General features: G+C 49.8%; 1 protein-coding gene across 1 annotated transcript in view; it reads right to left on the reverse strand.

Annotated features, from left to right (window-relative positions):
* LRFN2 (leucine rich repeat and fibronectin type III domain containing 2) overlaps positions 1–20,117 on the reverse strand; it is a 195,774-nt gene that overhangs the window by 93,507 nt on the left and 82,150 nt on the right. The window lies entirely within an intron of this gene.

The following is a 20,117-nucleotide window of genomic DNA, read 5'->3' on the forward strand; positions in this document are numbered from 1 at the left end:
GTTTATTATTCTAGCTACAAAAGGGATGTTTTTCAGGGAGGTCATGTGTATAAAATGTTCAACTATCAGCCAAGTGGGTCTGTGCACACCCAGACATAGAAGGATGGACAAGATGACATCTCAAAGTAGCTCCCAAGTCAGTGTGGAAATCTATGAACTTCCCCCTTCTCCCGGGCATCGTGGAGAGAAAAAGCCCCTTCCCTACTGCAGTTTGTGGTTTTGACTTTGATTAAATCTGGAGATTAATTTTTCCCAGTGACAGAGTGGCCAGCCTGGAAGCCATAATCCCTTCAGTAGTTCAACATGTTTATGGGGGTGAGAGGATGCTTAATGTGGCAGTTAAAATGCTAAGCTGAGTAATCAGTTCATTAGAAATTTACTCAATATGTTTGCTGTCTGCAGCTGGGCCCCACTCCCCTGGACAGAGATAAATCAGCAGACAATGCAGCTAGTGACAAGATAAACTCCTCCAACATCGACAGCAAGGCTCTGAAATGCCCTCTCATAGAGAAGAATTCTCTGGCTCAGTGCCCCCGAGGTCTTGAACAGGCCAGGCTGCTCCTTAGAGCTGGAGAGAACTATTAAGGTAGAGTACACCCAACGTCTGGACTTTAAGCCCTGGAAGAACTCAGGGCAAATAAGGAAAGCTGTAGCTCAAGGTCACTTGGTTATCATGGGCTGACCAGCCACGGGTCTTGATTTAAGTGCCCCCAGAAGGAGATCCTGAGACAAAGATTCAAGGGCACACAGTTTATTTGGGAGGTGGACTTTGAAAACCTGGGAGGGGAGTAGGGGAACTGAAAAGGGAAAAAGAACTCAGCTAATAAATGTGTTATCAAGCTAGTTACAACAGGGACAGCTGGAGCTCAGCCCCCCTGGGGAACTCAGCCCCCACTGGAGAACTCAGAGGTGGCAGAGACATTCACATCAGTGCTACCCCTCCCTCCTGCGGGGCGAGGGTGCTGAAAGGAGAGTACCCATCAGTCATTGTTTGAGGGCTGCTCCAGGGGCATACATTTTTTGGCCCTTCTGGCCTATGTACTTTCCTTTGAAGAATATGTAAGTCTAGAAGGCCCTCAAGTCAAAGATGCAGGTGTGGGCAGTGGGCAGTGGGAGTGGGGCTGGTATGAACTGAAATTGTGAGGTCTGAGGGGAGATAGTGTGCCGTCCACAGAGGATGAGCAGAATCAAGTGGGAATACAACAGCCACCCAATGAGTAATCTTAGAAGGAACTCAAGACCCCTGGGCTAATGAGTTTCCATTCCTGACTGTGCAATAAGAGCTGGATGCATCTGTAACAAAAGGCGGGACCCCTGAGCCCTGGAGTACAGAGATTCCTTGGGGAATTCGGCAGTTAGTGGGGCTTTATGGCAGATTCTTTCAGGGTTATGATGGGCTTGGGGGGATGGCAGGAGGGCATCTCAGCGGACCTGTGCCTGGGTAAGGAATGGGTAGAGGGTCAGAGAACTTGCTGGGCACTTCTCTGGGTGGAGAATGAGCAACAGAAGTGTCCCATGGTTAGGATGAGGCCGCCTCATTTGAAATGTTAATAAATCATCTGGAAAAGGGATTTACGCAGTGAAAGCTGGGGATGTGCAAATGGCACTAAGTTTTTTGAGGGAATGAAATGTCAAGCCAATGGGGATACGCTACAGAATCCCACAAGGGTGTGTACGAGTGGGCAGAGAAGTGACAGATGAGATTTGGTGTGGGCAAGTGTAAGATAATGTATTTAAAGACATATCTCAAGTGCTGTATGACTTCCTTCTGAGATGATGCATGCCACAGTGGTTTTATTTTAGGAAGAGTAGGGAGGGAAGGGGAACTGACATTTATGGTGTGGCTACTAGGTGTTCACAGGTTTTATCTTCTGGATGCAGAGTGAGGAAATGTGGTTCAGAGGGGCAGAGTAAATTGCCCAGTGTCACATACCTGGGAGGGGATGGCGTTGGGATCCTGATTCAATCTGTGTTCTTTCTAGTCTGTTCCCTGAGGACATGAACCAATGTGTAAAGTGGTCTGAAGACCACCAGGGGCCAGCCATGCCAGGGATTAATTCTGGGTCCCCTTCCTCTCAGGCCTGTCTCAGTCTCTTTTGCTGGTCTTTCAGCAAAAGTTGAATTGCTTCTGGCCCTTCTTGGCCTTCTCTATTCTCTTTCCCTTGGGGAGGTCATCCAGTTCTATGGTGAGTAGATCATTTATGCCAATGAGCCCCAAGTTCATGCCCTCAGCCCTGGCTTCACCTGAGCTCCAGACTCACCATTTGACTCTCACTGACATCACCACTGGGGTGCCTCACAGGTGCTCCAGATCTGGCAGGGCGTCAATGAGTTCTTGCTTCTTCCCTTACACCTGTTCCTCCCGCAGCCTTCCTCATCTCACTAAATGGCAACTCCATGGAGCCTATCCTTGCATCTCTGCAAAATGCACACATCCCGAAAAAGTCGGCAGATGGGAAAGGGAGGTAGGCAGATAGCTGTGAAAGGTGCATGGCCTCTGGCTTTTGGAAGGATGACCAGAAGGGATGGCTGGAAGCCCAAAGAACTGTGAAACTGATGGGGGAAAGTCAATGGGTTTCATCAGTGAATCCAAGGATGGGATGGCTAGGATTTGGAAGTGTAAAAAGATACATGTCAGGATGAAACCAAAGGAAGCTACCAGGCCCACTGTGTATTTCCACATGGAGTGCCGCTGCCCACCCTTCCCAGCTGTCTGCTGGAGGTATCCTGTGCCTTTCATCCAAATCCTACTTTTTCTCTGCATCCCCTGAGCAGTCAGAATCACCCAACCCTCCTAACCCCCTTTCCCAATCTCAGCCTTGAGCCTGGTGTGGGGTGGAAGCCCCAGACTCCTCTGGCTGGTGGGCAGGGTAAGGGCTCAGCATAGCAGTCCCCAGGCTCCCCAGTCACAGCAGCAGCCCCCAGTTCTTCCCTAGCCACGGGTCGAAAAGGAGAGGGAATATTTTCTTTTGTTGGGAAGACGAAAGCCAACCAAAAAAGGCCATAAAGTCACTGGATTGGAAAATGAGAAAGTAGAATAAATAGGCTCTTGGGAGGGAAACAGGTCTTCCCCACTCTGTGAACAGAAATAAACAAGGAGAGCACCTGTCAGGAGGAATTTACACCAGGGAATGGGTGGCTTGGCCCTGCCCAGAATCTGCAAGGAAGGGGTTCCAAGGAGCCCTGAATCTTCCTTCCAGACCAGACCTTTCTTCTCCCACTCTGCTGGCCACCTGCCTGGCCCCCCAACCCCCACCGCCATCCCCACCATCTTCCATTCCCTCTGCCTTGCTCCTTCCTGGCACCAGCACCCCCATGAGAAGTGATCCTGTCCTCTGCTGAAACAACCCACCTATCCTCCAAGCCTCCCTCCTGCAGGAAGCCTTCCTGGACCTCTTGCTTCTGAGAACCTGAGTCCCAGGTATACAACACACCAACTCTCCACCTGTCCCCACCACACCTTAGGCAGCTGCCTGCCATTCTGTCCCTTGACCAAGCCATTTATCAAGCCTTCTGTGGCCCATAGAGTGTAATTATTCCCATCTTTCAAGGCTCAGCTTCAACATCTCCTCCAGGAAGCCCTCCATGATCCCTACAACCTTTAGAAGGACTTAAGGCTTCCTCCCTATACCCACTGTGTTTTAGGGGTAGTTCCAGACCTCAGGTCTGGTATGAAGGAATTTCTGCCTCCTCTGCCTCCTTGAGGGCAGGTGCATTTCCCTATCCCTCAGGGTTTCAGGGCAATAGGGTTAGAGGATGATTAGAATTAGGGAACATTCTAGGAAGTGTAAAAAGTTAGGAGCAAACCAAAGGAAGGGAACTGACTCAGTCAAAAAAAAAGTACTTGTTGGTGGAGAGTTGAACCGATAATGTTGAATTTTATTTTGCTTTCAAGGTGTTGGCGTAAAGACTTCACATAGCAATAAGCACATAGCCTGCTGTGAAGTCCATTCCTTCTACAGATATTTACCAAACACCTCTCTCACACCTGTCTATACCATAGGCACACATACACCTCACAGCACACCAGGAAAAAGCAGGCACACCCCACCCTGCCTGCCTCCATCTCACTGCCTTCTCTGCATCCCTGCTGTTGCTTTAGTGTATTTGAAAACCAATAAAGACCTCCCACCAGAAAACAAAAACACGAACAACAGAACAATAGAGCACCCTGTTCTTCTAAGCACCAATTCAACAATCATCACACTTCAGAGCTGGAAGGGACTTGGAATAAGCTCATTGGACCTCTTCACTCCACAGATGGCGAAACTGAGGACCCAAGTGGGGCAGTGCCCATCTGAGGTGTGCGGTTAAGAAGAGGCAGAGGCACCTGCAGACCTCCTAACACCCGGTCTCCAGGCTCTCCTCAACCCACCTCAGCTTGGCCCGGTGAAGGGAGATTGTGCCTGGAGGAGGTGGCAGCGTCTGGGACACACAGGGGAGGAGATGGGTGAGAAGGAGGAAAAGTGGGGCAGGAGGGCAGCAGCCCAGCCTGGGAAGGGGTTGAGGGATGAGGCAGGGCTTCCTGGGTGCTGACGAGGAGGCCTGGGAGGAGGGCAGAAGGACACAATTAGAACTCCAAGGGAACTGTCCTTACCCACCCTTCTCACCTTCCCTCAGGGTCTGTCTTCTCCCACTTACTTAGGGAAAAATAATGACAGAAAGGTGGAGAGTAGAGACAAAAGAGAGGGCTGACCCACCTGTCCTCCCTCCCATCTCTGTCCTTCTGTCTCCATCTACTCATTCCCTCCTGTGACTTACCCGCTGCTGCACTCCGTAGGCATGCCCGGGTGCCCCCAGCTCATCTCCCCACTTGCACCACCTCAGCCCCAGCTGCTGCTCCCCAAGTTCACTTCCCCTTGACCTCTCTGGCCTTTCTGCTCCTTCCCTCTATGCCTCTCTGCCTGCAGCAGAGGGAGGGCCGCCGCTTGCCTGGAGCCCGGAGCCCAGCACCCAGAGATCAGTCAGCTCCAGGGGGAAGAAGGGCCCAGCACCTACTGCTCTGCAGCAAGCCCAGGAGAGAAGTCAGACCCCGTGGAAGCACATCTCGTCAGGGTTCTGTGGAGGCCAGGGAGGAAATGGGCCCAACTAATCCACGTTTGCCTCTCCAGATTGGAGTACAAGTGGGGAGATGGAAGAATTAACCTTTTCAAAAATGTAATTTCATAAAATCATCTTGCTTGGAACAGACTCTCTGGTTATTACTATTATTTATGGCCGTGTCCATGCCTCAGGCCACCACCAGTGTGGAGAGATGGAGGAGGAGCAGCGAGGCTGCAGCTGCCTGATGGAGAGAAGAAGGGCTGCCATTCTGAAGCTCAGGCTCAGGGCTCACCATGCAGCCACCCTCAGAGCCCTGTGGCCCCCAGAGCTCACCTGTGGCTATCCTGCAGAAGGACCCCCAGGGGAAAAGATTTTCAAGGCACTCTCAAGACTCTCACATGAAAATTCTTTCCTCTTTGCCCCTCTTCAGCCCTGCCGACACTCTCAGAGCTGCCGATTCCCTGCTCTCCTCTAGAGCTCACCATGGCTGGCACAGGCCACAGCATATGGCCCACTCTTAGCAGCTGCCCCTCACAGCCAGGCCTGGGTTTGCTCATAGCACCCATTAGCCCTGTCAGGACTGGAACATCAGAGAAGCCTGCCACCAGAGACTTGCTCCTGGGCTCAGAGAATGGGCATTAAGCTCCTGCTACTGCCAACCTGCCTGGGGCAGGGGAGATTCCTTGACTTTCTGGCCCTCTGTTCCCTCCCTGACTTCCCGGCTTCCCTGGCTTCGATCTGGCTGACTTCTCTTCAAGCTTTGAGTGATGCCTCACATCCTTGTCTCGTCCGGATATATGGGCCTCACCTGTAAGGTGAGGGGTATGTGCATGGTGTGCAGGAGGGACAGCCAGGAGGCCACTGTGGCCATAGAGGGGTGAGGGGGAGGAGGAAGACAAAGAGGATAGGGAAGCCATGGCGGTGGAGATGGCGGTCACGTAGGGTCTTGCAGGTCATTGAGAGAGCTTTGGCTTTTACTCTGAGTGAACCTGGGAGCCACTGCAGGATCTAGAGCAGAAGAGGCTGTGACATACCGTCACCACGGATGCTCACCTGTTCTCTGGGGCCTGGTCTGCTCAAGCTGCTTCATTCTCCCCACCTCAATGTCTTTCCTCTTTCCTTGGGACCCCACGAATTTAACAATATTCCCTGGGTGCCCATCTTAGAGTGCACCTGGAGGGCAAGGAAAGAGAAAGGTGTGGCTCTTGCCCTTGTCAAGGCCATCATCTTGTGGAAGACACAAGATTTCCTCCCTAGAAGTGCCAAAGAAAGAGTAGCCGGAGGGCTCCTAGCATCCCGGCTCTGGCCCCACTCCATTTTGCTGTGTGACTGTGGGTAGGTAGGCAGCTTACCCTCTCTGAGTGTGTTTCCCTCACTCTATTTTGCCATGTGACTGTGGGTAGGTAGGCAGTTTACCCTCTCTGAGTGTGTTTCCCTCACTCTATTTTGCCGTGTGACTGTGGGTAGGTAGGCAGCTTACCCTCTCTGAGTGTGTTTCCCTCTCTCCATTTTGCTGTGTGACTGTGGGTAGGTAGGCAGCTTACCCTCTCTGAGTGTGTTTCCCTCACTCTATTTTGCCGTGTGACTGTGGGTAGGTAGGCAGCTTACCCTCTCTGAGTGTCTGTTTCCCTCACTCTATTTTGCCGTGTGACTGTGGGTAGGTAGGCAGCTTACCCTCTCTGAGTGTCTGTTTCCCTCACTCTATTTTGCCGTGTGACTGTGGGTAGGTAGGCAGCTTACCCTCTCTGAGTGTCTGTTTCCCTCACTCTATTTTGCCGTGTGACTGTGGGTAGGTAGGCAGCTTACCCTCTCTGAGTGTCTGTTTCCCTCACTCTATTTTGCCGTGTGACTGTGGGTAGGTAGGCAGCTTACCCTCTCTGAGTGTCTGTTTCCCTCACTCTATTTTGCTGTGTGACTGTGGGTAGGTAGGCAGCTTACCCTCTCTGAGTGTGTTTCCCTCTCTGGAAAATCAAGGAAAGGGACCCTGTGGTCTAAGGTACCTTTGAGCCAAGACACCAATCCTCTGGAATTGGGAGGAACGGGGAGGATGACTTAAGGTGATGGGACTAGTTGGGCAGGATTTCCTACATGAAAGAGCCCTCCCCTGAGTCCCAAGGGTGAGTGAAGCGTGAAGGGCGGGAAGGTGCAGTCCCTTCCTCTTGCCTGTCCTGGAACCTGCTCTCCTTCCTGCTCGGCTGTCCCCGCCCCACAGCTCCCCCTGCTCCCCTGTCCTGGCCCAGCTCCTCTCTCAGCCCCCTCTCTGGCACTGAGCTGGAAGCACATCGAACCTGCCAGGTTAAATCAGATCCACATGTGCAACAATTTAACAAGAGATGGATCTGGCGTATGTGTGCAGTTTTTAAATAGAGGTTCCTTGGAGCCGGTTGTTTCACTCAGAATGAAAACAATTGATTATCTTTAGAGCCACTTACTGAGGCTTCTCAGCCTTGATACAACCAGCCTGGGGTTTACAGGACCCAGCACTACTCACCTGCCCTCAGGACTGCAACAGCCCTGTTCTCAGGGAGAGGTGGGCATCACTGCATGGCAGCCAGGGGCACCTCCTCTGCTGGGGGCCAGGGCAGAGGCAACAGGCCCCCAAGGAGGGCACTGGAGGCCAGCCTCTCAGTCATAACCAGAACCAGTTCCGAAGCCCAGACTCATTTAGAGGAGGAGAGGAGGGGGTCACAGGAACACCCCTCCCAATTCGCTGCCCAGCAGAAGGAAAAAGAAATTCCCTACCCTGGGGGAGCTTCCATTCTAGCAGTAGTGTGGTTGGTGGACACTAACAAGAAAACATATGTAGGATGCTGGGTAGTGCTAAGTGCTTCAGTGAAGCATCAAGCAGGTTACAGGCATGAGGGGGAATGAGGACTGAGGCACAGGAGCTCATTTGGACAGGGTGGTCAGGAAGAGGGGAGCAAGGAGACTATGACATATGAAAGAGCCAAACCCTGGTGACATCTCAGAAAGGACATTCAAAGCAGAGAGAAACAACATCCTGGAGTCCTCTATGCACTGAGACCCGAGCCAAGGCTGGGTATCAGGGATGGGAAGTGTGTCCCTCTATAGATGCCCCCTGCCCTTGCCAGCCCACCTTGAACTTCTGCCTCAGTTTCCCTGCATGCCACTCCAGTTTCCTGCCAGGCATTGCTCTGTACTTGGAGTCCTGACTTGAACCCTGACTCATTTGGCTGAGGAAATGGCACTTGTCTAATGCTTACCAGCTGCTTCCCAAGGGCAGAGACACTGTTTTCTATATTCCAGGCTAGGTGGCATTCCACTGTGTGTGGGCAGACAGGATGACCAGCTGGCTTTGAGTACTGCCCTCTGCCTTCACATCTTCCATTTCAGGGCTTAACCTACTGGCCTGGACATGCTCGCCCATACAGAGTCTGTCTAGCACCCACACTACAATGGATGAGGCCAAATGGGACCCATAAATAGCTTCCTGAGTGCTCCAGAACCTCCAGAAGCCCCAGCTCTGTCTCAAACTTCCTCCTGCACCTCCATCTCTTGGAGTCTGGTTTCTGCCCCACTGCCTTGCAGCCGGCTTCTGCCTCTCAACTAGACTGATGTCTTGCTTGGACAGTCCATTTGCCTGGATGCTGGCCTCACCTCCAGACACTAACTTCCAGCTTGTAGGTCAATCCTGCCTTATCCCCATCAAGCCAGGCTCTAGAACCCCAGTCAGGGACCAGTCTCAGGTTACAATTGATCTCTGTACCCTGATCTGGCCCAACAAGGGCAGACACAATCACTAGGTATGTCTATTGGCCAGGCCAGTGTGCCTTTCACCAGAGCCTCACCTGCTGTTCTGACAAGACAGTGCTGTCCTGTGGTTCTGGAAAAGCCCAAAAGGGTGAAATGGACCTCCCCTAGGGACAGTCAGAGAGGAGCTTCTTGCTAATGTCTTGGTCAGTCCTATGTTTACAACACAAAGTAGAGTGTTAGGAATCTTAGGGAAAAACAACACAAGATGGGAAAGCAGGTTTGAAGTAGTTATGGATCTCAGGTCCAGGGGGAGACAGGACATCGGTTTCCATTCCCAGCTCTGTTCCTAACAGGGTCACCTGGGATAAGTAACATTCCTGCTCCTCAAATGTCAAATCAGGGGCATTGGACCAGATCAGCACTTCTCTCCTCACTGTGTGCCATGGAAGGTTCCTTGGAGCCCTCTCAAAGGCTGCTCAGGGCGGAGGTGAGAGCAAGGGGCTTAGTTTCCCCACCCCCGTTTCCAAAAGGTAGGGCTTCTTTCTTCTATTTAAGCTGCCTCAAAATGCTGCCTTTGAAAAAGAGTAGAGTCTTACAAATTGCTTTAAAACCCTTTCATTATATAACTTTGAAATTCCAAGAATTAAAGATTAATCATCAGTTGATGACCTAGGCACTTGGCTCCCTGTCTCTCTCCACAACTATCCCTGCCATCATTCCTGACAATTTCATATCCTGGCAGATTACCTGTTCAACACCCAGGCCCCTTAGTCCATTGTCCCTCTTAGCACCAAGGACCTCATCCTTCTCTTCAACATCCCCTCACAAGGCCACAATCTAGACCTCATCATCATCCATAACACCTCACCTCTGAAAGCTTTATTTCAAGCAGCCCCATGATTGTCATCTCCTATCTCACTCTCTACTCCTATGCCAAATATTCTTCCACCTGATTGAGAGCCCCAATCCATTCATCTTGTTCACTGTTGATGAAACAGTGTTCTTATTTTCTTCTATTACTCAGCCCAGAGTTCATAGACCAACCCAAAAACCATCCTCTTCCAAGTACTCTTGTTGTCCTTGGACTTATCTCCTTCCTTCATGCTCACCTGGAAATCCCCAACCCTGGTTAAACCCAATCATCCATCTGCTTGGCACCTGCATCCATCAGCTGACTGGCATCTAGAGCCCTCTAGGGAATAACACACAGGTAGACTAGTTCTAATAACTGGGCAGACCTTTGAACCTTTCCAGGTAGTGTTCCTATACTTTCCTAATTCACTTTTCAACATTTTCCATCATTCCTCAAATAATCATTTTCCCTGCCTGGTCCTCCTCACCAGACAACAGCTTTGATACACACTTCACAGAGAAGTCAATGAAATCAGAGACCTATCTCTTCCTCAATCCCTATGCTACCAGCTGACCTGCATTTTCTCACTGTCTGGATTATCTCACTGAAAAACATGGCTCCCTATTTAACATCTTAACAAATAAATATCCTTTGACACCATGTTGGCTTCCTCTATGACCCTGCACACTGGTTTATAGCAAAATATTTACTAGTCAGTACCATCTCTACTACCTCATCCCCACCTCTCTTCATGTTGGGCATTTACTCCTACTTTTCCATGAAACAGGCATTGTTCAGGATCACCTCTGACCACCCAACATCTTCTCAAAGCCAAGTTTCAGTCCTCATCTTGTCCACTCTCCTCATGGCCATCCATACAGTTGCCCTGTCTCCTTCCTGAAGCCTCCATCATCTAGAACCCTCCAGGGAGTAGCACACAGCCATGTTGACTAGCTCTAATGTATGAGCTAGTCAGTTTACCCCCAAAAGCATGGGTTGTTCCTTTCCAGCCTCCTTTGCCAGCTCCCAGGCCTCTCATTGTCAGATTGCCTAAGGCTTGATCCTTAACCCTCTTCTCTTCTGTGTCTACACTCTACTGAGATGATCATATCTGGTCATACGACTTCCAACACCTTCTAGTGGATGAAGATTCTTCACATTTACCTCCAGCCCAGCCCTTTCCTCCAAACCCCACTGAAAATACACATCCCACTGCCAACCTGCCACCTCCACTTGGATATCTATTGGGCACCTTGAACCCAAACAGAAAAATACATTCCCTCTTCTCACTCCAAATATGCCAATACATTCCCCGCTTGGAGCCTCTCCCAACTCAGAAATGCCCCACCATCCACCCATCCAGATGCTCAAGCCAAAAGCTTAAGAGACATTCTTGATTCCTCCCTTCCTCTCACACCAAAGAGCCCATCTATCCCTAAGTCTCTTTGGCTCTACCTCCAAAATGTATCCCGAATCCAACCCCTTCTTACCACCTCCACTACTACTGCCTGGTCCATGTCACCATCCTCTCTCACTTGGACCACATTAATCTTCTAATTTATCCTGTCATTCTGGCCCACCTCCAACGTGTCCTCCACAGAGCAGCAAGAGGGACCCATCTAAACCGGAATCAGGTCAGGTCAGCCCACTGTTTTAAAACCTTTCAGTGGTTCCCGCTGCACCAGGGGTAAAAGACACAGCCCCCACTGCAGCCTGCAAGGCCCTGTGTGATTCGGTCTCTGCCTATTCATTTTCCCTTGGGACCACCCTTGGTCAGGAAGCTCAGACACCCTGGACTCAGCTCATTCCAGTCTTAGAATCTTTGCACTGATTAGTCCTCCTGCTTGGACCCCTCTTACCCTGCCCTGGTCTTCACATGCCCAGCCCTCATCATTTGGCTCTCAGGTCAGATGCAGTGTCCTCAGAGAGGCCTCTCAAAGGGCCCCCTCCCTGACCTCCATCATCCTGCCACCCACATCTGCACTAATCTATTTTATCTTCTGTATTGGTGCTTAAAAGCATTTTCCTGATTGGTTTGTGTGTTATCCTCTGCTTCCTCCTGCTAGAATATGAGACCCTTTGGGGCAAGGAGTTGATCTAGGTGGTTTCTGACTCTAGTCCCAGCATTTCAAAAGCACCTGGCACATAGTAGGTGCTTATTAAAAGGACCTAACTAATAATCTCAGGCTTTCAGTTCCTTGCTGATGGGCCTTGAAAATCCAGTTAATTACTCAGTGCCTTCCCTATCTATAATGTAAGGGTTCTCATACCCAACACACCTCCTGGTGTCGGGTGACTGGATGTAATAGAGCTTTGCAATCTATGGTGCACCATGCAAAGGAGTCAGTCCCTCACCTGGCTCTGCCAAAACAGGCATGCAGCTGGGAGGAGAGAAGTTTATAGCATCCCAAAGTGACGCCCTTCTGCAGCCATTTCTGACTGCCCACCTCACTCCTAAGTCCGTTTGCCTTCTGCTTCCACGTTTGCCTCTGCCCCTTGCCTCAGCTTCAGAGCCCCTCTGCAGTTCCCCCCAGATGTCCCTTACCAGCAAACCACTCCCTGGTTCTCACCCACTGAGGACCCTAGCATCTCTCTCTTCCAGCATCTCCTCTTAGTCAACCAGGCCCAACCTGTTGCCCTCATAAATTCCTGCTCACCCAGGCTCTACATCGTCTTTTCTGCTCTGCCCCCCATTCTCTCTTCTGTGAGCCTTCCCTGTGCTCCCATCCCTATCCAGATATTTGCCTCCAAAGCTGTCTTGTGGCTTTGTTTTCCAGCAGGAGTCATATAAGCACTCTGTTTTCTTCTTTTCTCAGGCACCCGTTACCATATTAGCATCTAATAAGTCCCTTGTACTACACAGAACACAAGGTGACATCATGTCTATGGGGAACAGAAAAGAATGTACTTACAATAGGAAAGGGCTCGGAAGGGTAGAGCTGAGTGCCTGACAGTGCCTCAGTTTCCACACCTGCATCAAGGAGGCTCTGCAGCACAGGTGTCCTAGATTTTCCATAACACCTCTCCAACTCCCCCACCCTCACCTTCCTGTCTTCCCCAGGATTGATGCATGGCCTTTGCAGAGAGGGCCTTGGGCTCCCCAGGAAGCAAGGATGATCAAAAAAACAAGATCAGGACATCAACAGCTGGCACACAGGGGATTCTTAGAAGGCTAGAAAAATGTCACTTCCCCAGTCTCAGGCTACAACAGCTATTTATCATCTTTACTCTTGGGGAACAGCCCTGAGAGGGAGCTGACCTTGAAGAAGGAGAGAATCACTTCTGGGGTGTCTGCCTACTGGGGTGCTGAGGGGAGCAAAGGATGGGAGGACAGGGTGGAAACTGGAGGAAAGTGGCAAGAAGACAAGGTCTCGGCTGTCTGGAGGCAACATTGACTCTACAACAGCGCGCCTATAGATCCGTGTCCACCGAAAGGCTCTGTCACTGTCAGGGAAGCCCTGGAGACTGAGTGGAGGGAAATGGCATTGAAAGTGTAAGCAGGAGATGGGACACAGCTGGAAGGGTCTGTCACAGCCAGAGAGGTAAATAATGAGTCTCTCTGCCAAAAAGTCCAGTCTTCTGCCCTCAGGTCCTTCCTAATAATTGAATCTAAGCTGCATTCATGGCTGAAGGGGTCTACAATTAACACCCAGATTCAGACATGCCAGGGCCATTGGCGGAGAGTCCAGAGCCTGCAGGAGAGGATCCTGACATATTTATAAAGATATCCCTAGACATTTATTGGATATTTCTGCTTCCAGTCACCTGCACTGTGGCTGCCTTCACATACTTTTTTCCCCATATCTTTACAAAAAAAGCATGTAGACTTGCTCCCAAATGCAGATATATTCACATCTGAAAGTTCAGGCACCAAGATATCCAAGGACACTCGTTCTCACACATATGATCTCATGTGCTATGCACACACTCAGCTCACGCCCAGCCCACTCTGCGACACCCACATGGACAGGCAGCTGTACACAATCACTATTTAGGTTCTTGGGGCATGGCAGTGAATGAAGCCAATCATGATCCCTGCCCTCAGGAAGCTCACATTCTGGGGCACCATCCACGGAGAGGCACAGACACTTTGCCTCTGACTCTTGCACACAGACTTATTCAACATATACAGAGACTCTACACAAACATTTAAATAGTCCACAAACATTTATTGAGCACCTGCTACATTCCAGGAAGCATGCTTGGGACTAGAGATATATCAGCAAGCAAGACCAGCATGGTTCCCATCCTCAGACACACCCAGAAAGGCACACTCCCAAACACAGGCTCAACAAATACACAAACCACTTATACACACGATTTCAAACACAAATCCGAAGGCATTTTTATGATGCCCCAGGTAGCAACTCACTTAGAATGAGGAAGGAGGAGGCCCTTTAAAGTTCAAAGTCAGAGCTGTACATTGTCCATTCCTCTACCAGGCTGTGTGTTCCTCTCCGTTCAACATCACATCATCTCCATCCCTCCCTATTGGGCCCATGGAATAGTTGAGGTGCAAGGGACTGCCTGCATCCTGGAGCCCCCATCTCCCCAGCCCTGATGATGCCGTTCAAGACATTTCCCAGGTTCCCCACTGTCAGGACGGGGCCAAGCACAGACCCAGTGGCCGGGGATTTTTGCTGAGCCATTACATTACAACCGAGCCTGCTCCTTCCAGACATTTTTTTTTTTAAAGAATCAGAAATAACTTGGCCGTAAAAATGTGCTTTGGGCGGAAAGCTGACTCCCAGGGTCAGAGCCCAGGAGAAGATTTCTGCAACACAGTTTCAGGAAAAATAGCAGACACTCAGCAATTTTTATTTTCCAAGGGATGAAGAGAAAATACAATTGGAGTGGATTTAGGGCTTCGCAGGGCTCCTCTTCAGGTTGCAATGTGTTCGTGGTTTCTCTCTTTTCCCCAGCTGGAGAGAGTGGCAGCAGAGAGTGTGGGCCGAGGGGAAAGTGGAAGTGCTGGGTCTGCTGCCTGACACCGCATGAGACCAGTGACCCACTCCCCCTTAGAGTGTGGCGAGTTTGTGCTGCAAGGTCAGAGGCTGATGGGCTGTGTTCAAGGTAGTAGGTCAGTGGGTTTGGAGCCATTGATTCAAGCTCAGATCCCAGTTCTGCCTTCTACTGTGAGAGCAAGGTTTTTGAAAACCTTTCTGTGCCTCAGTTTTCTCATCTGGAAAATGGGAAGAACAGCAGCACCTACCTCACAAGGCCGTGGTGAGAATGAAAGAAATCTGCAGTTCGTATGTATTTCAATAGAGGAAGCTCTAATAACCCTTAGAAGATGGCTACTACCTGCCTCCCATCCTCTCCGTGGCAGGCCTCTCCAGCTCCCTGCCTGTGGGATGGATGCCCAGCACGAAAGCCCTCTTAGCCTCCACGACTGCAGACAGCAATGCCTGGGTCCTGGGCCCTCAGAGAAACCCCATCAGCCTGGTGTTCTCACAGGTTCTCCCCGGAGACCGGGAGGCTCTGCTGTGCTGACTACTCTGCCTGCCCCTCAGAGACTCCTTCACCCAGCTCTGTGTCCCAGGGGAAGGCCCCCTTGCCCTCTTATTTCCTGTCAGGTTTGGCCCATGGGATGTACCAGGAGAAGGCCACAGGGGACGTGGAGGGTGAGGCTGTTACTTCTGTGGCATTCCCTCTGGCTTCAGAGCCTCAGATCTGCTTCCTCCCTATCACTTCAGGCCGAGGGGCAGGCGGCTAATAGCTTGCATCACTGCAAGTCTTTGAGTGCCTCTCAGCCCTTGTTGATTCTGTCAGATCTGCCCACAGCTTTATAAAAAGTCCCTTCCTTAAAGATTCTGGAGAGGAGTGAAAGAAGCAGTGTACAAGGAAATAATCATGGTTATACACAGAGGCTTTCATACAAGGATGTTCATCATAGTGTTGTTTGTAATAACGAAAGGTGGAAAGAAACTAAATGTCCAACCATCAGGCATTGGGTGAGTAAACCAGAGTAATCCAAACAGTGCACTGGACTGCAACTATTAAGAAAAATAATGTGCTACAAGAATATTCACCAATACTGGGGAATATTCACTACATGCCTCTAAGGAAAACAGTGGGCCTAGAAGACTATGGATGGACTATAGCATCAAAAATAACATCTACAGGTTTGGAAAGAGAATGCATAGGAAGAAAATACACCAAAATGCCTACTGTGTTATCCTTGAAGATGTGAATGACGGGTGGTGGTATTTTTTTCCTTTTGTACGCTTCTGTGTTTTTTCACTTTTTTTTTTTTTTGCATTGAGCATATATTACTCTATTGATTAGAAAAGAAGTTATTGATAATACAGGTACAACCATTAAAAATGACATTTTAAAATAATTTTTAACATCATGGGTAAATAAATGCTGTAAGATATTAAGTGAAAAAGCAAAAATTGCCCTCTCTTCATACGCAGGTCATATGGACAAATGCCTACATATATATCTATCTGTCTAAAATAATATAAATATTATTTAGTATTATATATAATATTTTCATTTAAAAAGACTGGAAAAAAGCACAAAATGTTATCAGAGGTTTTCTAGGAAAGATATAGTTACGGGTAATCTTTTTACCCTTGCCTGCACTTTCCAATTTCCTATCATAAGCATTGATTTTATTTTTTTTAAGACAGGGTCTCACTCTGTCACCCAGGCTGGAGTGCAGTGGCATACTCATAGCTCACTGAGGCCTTGATCTCCTGGGCTCAAGAAATCTTCCCATCAGCCTCTCAAGTACCTGGGACTACAGGTGCCCATCACCGTGCCTGGCTAATTTTTTTTTTTTTTTAATTTTTAGCAGAGACAGGGTTTCATTATGCTGCCCAGGCTGGTCTTAAACTCCTGAGTTCGAGCAATCCTCCTGCCTTGCCCTCCTAAAGTACTGGGATTTACAGCCACCACATCCAGTCACCACTGATTTTTAAATAATCAGATTAATATTTTACATTTAGAAAATCTAGGGCACTTGAAGCCAAAATATTCCAGGGTATGGATTCAGCCACGTGCCAGCGTGCCTCTCTCTGCCTTCAATACACTGGCTTGGATGTCTCCGCCTACAAAAGATGAAGCCAGACACTCTTGTGAGCATGGCAAAGTGGGGTGCAAAAGCCCTCATGGAATCAGAGATCTGAGCCCACGGGGAGTGGAGCCAAACAGGGAGCAGAGAGCCACGCATCCTCGGTAGCCTGAACATTCCACCTTGTTGATGTGCATTTTGTCATTAGTGACTTCATGAAGCATGTCCTGACTCCACACACCCTGTACCAAGCCCAGTGGAGACCCAGAGAGGGTGTCATCTGCTGGGGAGACAGACAGACAACTGCAAAGGAAAGCAGCACTGCAGTGTTAATACAGTAAAAATAACTACCTTTCCACTTCTGTAGGGCCTTGCTGGGTTTAGAGCACCCTGTCTTTGCTACTTCATTGAATGCCCACAGCAGCCCTAGAGGGGAGTGTCATTATCCCCACTTTGCTGGTGAAGAAGATGAAGCCCACAGAACTTCAGTGAGTTGCCCTGGACTAACCTAGAATATGAGAGATGCCATAGAGCCTTCAGATGTGTGCGCCCAGCCGGCACCCAGAGCCAGGGTGGTGTAGGTCATCTCCGAGGGCTTCAAGGAGGATTGAAGGGAGGGAGGATTTCAGAGGCAGAATGGAAGTCCTTTGGGTGAAAATGGCTGTCAGGACAAGTCATAAAAGACACGAAGGCTGAAGTTACAAGCCCTTGGAAAATTTTTGCCTATGTCTACAGGAGGAGTGCGCCCATGCACAGGAGTCTCAGCTCATCCCTCCCCTCCCTCCATGCTGGAAGCTGGCAGCAGGGCACTAGCTCCTGACTCCTGTCCTTCCTGGAACGATGGGGAATTGGAAGGCAAGTCACAAATGGGACATTCACTCAACAATTGATGAGTGTCCTTTGAATACGACTATGTGTCAATGCTCTATTCACTCTCCTGTCTCCCAGAGCCCAGACAGTGACTAGAACCTAAGTCCTCAGAGAGTTTCTGTGGGTGGGTGATTGACTACCTGCACTATGCTGTGTTAGGCACTGGGTTGCCCAGTGGGGCCCAGACAGACATGGCACCTGCCCCCATACAGCTTAGAGTCGAGCGTTGGGGCAGAAATGATCAGACAGCCACATTAGGTGATGAGGCTCCCAGCCCAGGAAGAGCTCTGAAGCTAGGACAGTTGTCATAGAACCACAAAGGAGAAAAATCACAAAGGAGCTGAGATTGGAGATTCAGCATGCCAGCAGTGAGAGGATAATCTGGACAGAGAGAACAGCATGTTCCAAGACTGTATCAGGGAGGAAGCACAGTGAATTCTGGGGACTGGGAGGCCATGGAACCTAGAGAGCAAGGACAGGGCAGAGGGTGGGTGACAAAGATGGAGGTTGGGTGGGCCAGCCATGCAGGGCCACGAGGGCCAGGTCTCGGATATGGAGATGATCTCACAAACAACAGAAAACCAACAGAGGGTTCAGTGGGGTTAGGATGGCAGAGAGGGTGACATGATTAGAGTTTTGGTGTGGAAATTGGATCAAGCAGGACAGCAGTGGAGCTGACAGAACAGTCGGGAGGCTGTAGTGAAAGAACTGGAGAGAGATCAGTTCTCCCACAGCTACTCAGGAAAACTGACTAGTCGCAGTAATGGAGAGACTGTAGTGGGGGAGCAGAGGGAAGTGCCCACAGTGACACTTAGCTGCTCACTGGTGCAGCCGATGGAGGGCGGTCCTCTGGGACACAGAGCCATGCAAGAAGACCACCATTGCTGGAGAAGCCCACAAGCTCTATTGTAGACAGGTAGCGTTTGGGGACTTTTAAGACATCCAAGAAGAGATCCTGAGTAGAGTTGACAGTGCAGATCGGAGCTCAAGAGAAGTCTTGGTAGGAGACACAAATCTGTAGATAATCCACATATGGGTAGGAAATGAAGGCCAAGAACAGATGAGATTGCCCAGGGAGAGGGTAGAGCACTGGGCCTTGTGGAGCCCAACACCAGTATGTGCCAAGGTGCAGCCAAAGATTCAGGGCGTGCCATTGGAGGCAAGGGAAGCAGGTGCTCCTGGAAGGACGAGGTTGGTGGTAGAGTCAAATGCTGCTGAGAAGTCAGATAAGAAGAGGACTTTACTATGCTCGTTGGATGTAAAGACACAGAGGCTACCAGTGACACTAGGAAAAGCCCCTGTGCTGGAAAGATGGGGTGAAGGCCCATTCAGAAAGGCTGGAGGAGTTATGGAATGGAGGCAAAAAAAAAAAAAGAGGCAATTCTAAGATGTTCATGCAGGGGTGGCGAGAGATAGGAGGGTCGCCAGAGGGCTTGTGGCATTAAGGGGGAAGCAGTTCACTTCCTAGAATAAATGGGTTCAGGGCTGGGGTAAGGGCCTCCCTCAGAAAGACCAATGCAGACAGCAGAAGAGACCCGCCCAGAACCATTCCAAGGCTGGTTGTTGCATCTTGCCCATAAGAGACCAGTAAAAGCTGGAATGACTTAGGAGTAAAAGCTAGAATTTTCCAATTGGTCCTGGATTCAGTCACTTAGTAGCTGTGTGACCTTGGGAAAGTTACTTAACTTCTCTGGGATAAGGAACTTTCTTTCTCTGATGAGGAACTTTAGTTTCCTCATCTGTAAATTGGAATAATCACAGGACGATCTTAAACATGAAAGGCTTAGCACAGTGCCTGGCACACACCATGTGCCCAAAAACACAATTCTAACCAATCCTCCGGTCACAACAAAGTAACCACTGTCATACTAAAGAAGTGGGCGTATGAGGAAATCAGGATGGTCATGACTCATTATGAGGGTGGGAACAGGAATGAGAAAAGAAGCACATTCTGGAGCTGTGGGCAAATGAGAGCCTCCTCCCCAAGAAATCCACTTGAGCCATGGACAGTGAAGGTCAGAAGGAAACAGTACAGAAATGTATATGGAAAGACCTCTTGAAGGGCTTGAACCTGAAGCCCAGCTAGAAATCACCTGCTCTCACCAAGACCAAGAAACAGGTGTGGAGTGAGTCACGGCCAGCCTCACTCTCCAGCCCTTTTCAATTTCCAAAGCTCTTTCGTATACAGAATCACCTTTGATATTATAGTAGCTTGGTTTCACATGTGTGTGCGAGTTACAATGACCAAAGGCACACTAGGGAGCTGTGAGTACAGCGTTGGGTCTGAAACCAGGGTCACTCTACCTGAGACTAAAGCTCCTGTCCCTAAAAACTGCCCTCCTTTGCTGGATGGGCAAACCCCTCACTCTGTCAAAGCAATTTCACACTGAACCATTTCTAGAGTGTGTGATGTGATGATGGCAGAGGGCAGAGGTGAAGACTACGAGCCTAGATCTTTGGAGGGGACAGTTGCCCGTGGCCTCGGCAAAGCAGCCAGTGGGCTCTGTCTGCACGGGCCCTGTGTGGCAGGTTTCTTCTGGTTCAGGTGGGCATCTGTGATTGTTTATAACCTGTCAGTGGGGTCTCCCGGGATTCTGTGGGGGCGGGGGACAAGGT

The sequence above is a fragment of the Homo sapiens genome, chromosome 6 (genome assembly GCF_000001405.40).
Source record: "Homo sapiens chromosome 6, GRCh38.p14 Primary Assembly".
Classification (NCBI taxonomy): domain Eukaryota; kingdom Metazoa; phylum Chordata; class Mammalia; order Primates; family Hominidae; genus Homo; species Homo sapiens.